The 5,231-nt window shown below is 48.0% G+C and overlaps 1 pseudogene across 1 annotated transcript; it reads right to left on the reverse strand.

The window, feature by feature from the left end:
• Positions 1 to 929: 929 nt before the first annotated feature.
• FAM25EP (family with sequence similarity 25 member E, pseudogene) lies at positions 930 to 2,826 on the reverse strand (annotated as a pseudogene). Its single transcript, NR_172103.1, has 2 exons — positions 2,697 to 2,826; positions 930 to 1,121 (listed from the first exon to the last, which is right to left on the reverse strand). The product of NR_172103.1 is annotated as a family with sequence similarity 25 member E, pseudogene (transcript).
• Between the last annotated feature and the right edge of the window lie 2,405 nt (positions 2,827 to 5,231).

Raw genomic sequence — 5,231 nt, forward strand, 5'->3', positions numbered from 1 at the left:
TCTGCCCTGAGTCCTGCAAGAACATCTCAAGAAAAATCCCAAAAACATGCAAGACAAATGAAGGTCCTCCCTTAGCGTGTTCTTGAAGCACTGAGGTGCCTGAAAACTATATATACTTTCTGGGGAAACAGTTTTTTAGGAAATGTAGCACAGACACTAACTATTCTTCCAGGAGAGCCCCTTCCTGACATGAAAGATCTTAGCATGAGAGAGAAGCATCTGATTCATCATGGGGACATATCCAACCAGCAGCAGGGGCCCCAGTGCCGGTGTCCACCTCAGCAGAGGAGACACAGGGGACATGAAAAGTGTTTCCATTGAAAAAAACTTCACCTAGGGTGACTATAGTTAGCAGGAATGTATTGTATATTTCAAAGTAGCTAGAAGGCTAAGTGTGGTATCCCATGCCTATAATATCAGCATTCTGGGAGGCGCAGGCAGGCAGAACACTTGAGGTCAGGAGTTCGAGACCAGCCTGGCTAACATGGTGAAACCCCGTCTCTACTAAAAATACAAAAAACAAAAAATAAAAAATTAGCCGGGCGTGGTGGCCTGCGCTTGTAGTCCAAGCTACTCAGGAGGCTGAGGCAGGAGAATTGCTTGAACCTGGGAGGCAGAGGTTGCAGTGAGCCGAGATCAAGCCACTGCCCTCCAGCCTGGGCGACAGAGCAAGACTCTGTCTCAAAACAAAAACAAAAACAAAAAAACAAAGTAACTGGAAGAGGGGACTTCAAATGTGTCCAACACATAGTAATACCAAATATTCAAGGTGATGGACACCCTAAACACCCTGATTGATCACCACACATTCTGTGCATGTAATAAATACTCAAATGTACTCCATAAATATGTAAACTATTTTATATCAATAAGGAAATACTTTGCCTAGCGTTTCCATCCAAATGGGAATAAATCCAGGGCTCTACGTACATATTTCATGGCTTTTTATTGAGACTTGGGAAGGGTGGGCCATGGTAGCAGGTGCATTCACTGTCCAAGTTTGCCCAGACTCTCTGCTGCATGGGTGATGGCATTTGTGACTGTGTTGGTCACTGTCTCAGTGACTTCCTTCATCTTTTTGTCCCCTGACTCTTGGGCTTTCTTTATGGCTTCGGCAATGGCTGTTGGAAAGAAAGAAGAAGAATGTCCTAGTGATCCACCCACTGAACTTGTATCCCCTTGAGTGGCCTGTGGGATGTGGCCATCTTAATGGATTAGTCCATGGAGTGGCCCAATGGGACCAAGGGGAGCAGGACTCCTGGCAGAATGAATTTGAATTTGGTTTTAATTTCCCCAACAACTTGTATTTCTTCAACTCTGAGACTGAGCATCTACTCATGGGTACATTGCCTGCTTATCCTTTTTTTCTGGAAAATGCCTGCTTATGTCTTTTGGCCATTTTTATGTTGGGTTGTTATATTGCATTATCATTTCTATTACAAATATTTTTCATAGTTTGTGATTTTTCTTTTGGCTTGGTTTATAGTATTTTTTTTTTTTTTTTGGCTATAGAAAATTTTGAAGTTTTGGATTGTCAAATTTATTTAATATTTCCTTTATGGCTGCTGGGTTTTTTTTCCATAGTTCTAAAGATTCTCCCCTCTCCAAGATTAGGCCAAAGTCTCTTATGTTATTACTATGTCTAAATGTTTATGATGTCTTCCCCCTCAAGACTCATACGTTGAAATCCTCAGCTCTAATGTGATGGTATTCAGAGGTGGGGCCTTTGGGAGGTTGAAATTAGCACCCACATAAAAGAGACCACAGAGAGCTAGCTCCTTCCACAATGTGAGGACACAACTAGGCCCATCCACGAACCAGGAAGACGCCCTCACCAGATGCCAAATCTGCTGGAGCCTTGATCTTGGACTTCCCATCCTCCAGGAGTGTGAGAAATAAATTTCTGTTGTTTCTAAGTCACCCAGTTTATGGTTTGTTTTTGTTTTTGTTTTTGAGACAGAGTCTCGCTCTGTCACCCAGGCTGGAGTGCAGTGGCACAATCTCAGCTCACTGCAACCTCCGCCTCCCAGGTTCAAGGGATTCTCCTGCCTCAGACTCCTGAGTAGCTGGGATTACAGGCATGTGCCACCACACCCAGATGATTTTTGTATTTTTGGTAGAGACAGGGTTTCACCATATTGGTCAGGCTGGTCTCGAACTCCTGGCCTCAGCTGGCCCACCTGCCTCAGCCTCCCAAAGGGCTGGGATTACAGGCATGAGCCACTGTGCCTGGCCTATGGTATTTTATAATAGCCTGAGCTAAGATAGTTATCTCCTATAAGTTAATAAATTCATGTATGTAAATTTCAGTCCTTCATCTACCCAGAATCTATTTTGTTGAAGAGGAATGAGATATACACATGCTTGTACATAGTTCTACTCATAGCTCACACACATCAATTTGACATTTAACATATAATTTTACATGTTAAATGTTTTGTCCCAGTGTGCTGTCACATAGTCTTTTGTGACTTTGTCTTCTTATCATTCCATGGAGAGAACCATCTAGACAGTGCCCTAACATAGTACAGTCTGTGGCCTCTGATGAACATAGATAACTGTCCCAGCCGAGAGGCTCTGAAAGGCTGCAACATTAGGTGCAGAGTTTGACCCGGTTAGTCAAAGAACAGGTTGGCCCAGCACCTAGCTTCCCTTCCTCCCTCCCTCCTTCCATGCCCGACCTCAGCCAGCTGTACCTTTCTCTCCAGTCTCCTTGGCATGTCCCACCACCTCCTTCACCACTTCCTCCATGGCATGAACTGAACAGAGGAGACAAGTCCAGGGTGAGGGCTCAGAGCAGGCCCGCTGCCCCCGAGTCCAGGATGAGGGCTCAGAGCAGGCCCACTGCCCCCACAGCCCAGGGTGAGGGCTCAGAGCAGGCCCACTGCCCTCCTGAGTCCAGGGTGAGGGCTCAGAGCAAGCCCAATGCCCTCCCAGTCCAGGGAGAGGGCTCAGAGCAGGCTCATGTCCCCTGAGTCCAGGGTGAGGGCTCAGTGCTGACCCATTTATCCTCACAATGGACCTATACGTCCCTGGACATCCAAGGTGGGGCTCCGGGATGCCACCCCCAGCCAGGACAGACTGGCTCATTAGAAGGAACTTCCCCCACAGCTGCCTTCATTTGGAGATGCCGGGACACTGGCTGATGGGAGACAAGCTCAGTGAGCCCCATGAGGGCATGGGCCCCTGAAGCCCCTTGGCCCTGCCCAGCCTGGAATGTCAATGATCAGACTGTCTTGCCAGCTGAGACCTGGAGACCAGGCTAGGCCTCTGTGCCAGATTACATCCCTCTCAGGATGTGCTGGCGCCTGCCTCAGGTTAATTTCCAAAGCCTCATCCAGTAAAACCATGTCTCTCAAAGCAATTCCTCCAACAAGAGGGAATTCTCTGCCTACTTCAGAGTTTTTTAAAGTGTGGGTGGTAGTGTGCTAGAACTGAAAGATTTTGGAGTCAGAAGAAATGGTTCTTATTCTAACTCTCCCTTCCACCTCTTGGTTCCCTCATCTTTAGAATGGGAATCTGTTGGGATGATCAGAGCCAACACCAGGTCGTGGGGGCAACAAAGTCCCGCGGAGTCAAAAGAATGAGAAAAAGTTCAAGAGAGAAAGTGGGACCAGGGGGCCATTGCCAGTGTGGAGGCTGCAAAGGCACTGAGCTCTGGGAGCCCATGCTATTTATTGGTGATCTAACAAAGAAACAGGTGGTGAGGATGTGGAGGTTGAAAGGAAACAGTGTAGCAAGTGAATGAGAAATATATGGCTACTTGAGATAATGGGAATGCTGGAATCAAGAAGCCAGCAAGTCTAGCAGACATGCAAGCCCTGCCTCAGCTTCTCTACCAACACTCAGCTTTTCTCCCAACAGGAATCATAGAAAACTCAGAGGCTAGTGAAAGGTTAAAGCAGGTGGTTATCACCAGCTGCAGAGTCAAAAACAAAATACACATCTGCTGCCATGTAGAAAGAGGACACAAACTCAGGCAAGGCTGTTTTTCACATGATGACCCATGAGTGGGGCCTGGCTGGGCCTCCCCACACACAGCTGCTGACCTCTGCATACAAAACATGCTTCGGCCCAGAAGCACGCCAGCATTCACCCACCTGTGGGTATCAGTCAGGCTCCTGGTGGAAGCCAGAGGACATATTCGAATGGGTACTTGAGGAAAAGGGGCTGTTCACAGAAGTGTGGACAGAGTTAAGGGAACCAATGAGAGATGAGAAATGCCCTGGACCAGCAAGAGTGGGAGCTGTTATCTCCCTGGGTCTAGAGGGACAGGAAAGGTGTCCACAGACCCCGAAGAGAGCTGTGGCTGTAGGGGAGGATCATCAGGAGCTGCAGCCATCACTAGAAAGATGTGGCCACTGGCAAACCAGCAAGGAAGAATCTGAGTGAATAACCACCTCTCCTCTCTCTCCCACCTCCTATGACATCCCCCACTGTCTGAATTCCACTAGGGCCAGACAGTGAGGAACCTTGGTGATGCAGTCCAAGAGGGAGTGGGCAGAGAGGAGCCAGTGGGTATGGAGGGGAAACAGAGAAACAGAGAATTCCAGCTCACTCTGCGGGATTTCTGGGTCTGATAGAAACATAGCAGCAGCTTAATTATTATTATTTTGAGATGGAGTTTCACTCTTTTTACCCAGGCTGAAGTGCAGTAGCGTGATCTTGGCTCACTGCAACCTCTGCCTCCTGGGTTGAAGAGATCCTCCTGCCTCAGCTTCCCGAGTAGCTGGGATTACAGGGACATGCCACCACACATTGCTAATTTTTTTATTTTGGGTAGAGATCAGGTTTCAACATGTTGGCCAGACTGGTCTCGAACTCCTGACCTCAGGTAATCCGCCCGCCTGGGCCTCCTAAAGGGCTGGGATTACAGGCATGAGCCACTGTGTCCAGCCTGCAGCAGCTCAATTTTACAGTGTCCCTTTTCTCCTTCTGGAAACTATATAGAGCAACAACAAGACTGAGGAGGAGGAGGAGGAGAAGGAGGAAGAAAAAGCCCATCATCAACATACACATCAAACTCAACTTCAGAGAAATTAGGAAGCTGGGAAGCCACGTAAACCCAAAAGCAGGTGACACCAGCAGAACCAACACAGGAAGCCAGGGAAGTGCAGAAGAACAGGGCATGGGGGGCCACCCAGGGGGAATCTTCACTGTTGCCAGCAACACACACTCCCAGCAAGAGAGGACCCTCAGAGTGAGAACGCAGAGCTGGAGAAGTGAAGAAA

This window comes from Homo sapiens, chromosome 10 (assembly GCF_000001405.40).
Source record: "Homo sapiens chromosome 10, GRCh38.p14 Primary Assembly".
NCBI classification, from domain to species: domain Eukaryota; kingdom Metazoa; phylum Chordata; class Mammalia; order Primates; family Hominidae; genus Homo; species Homo sapiens.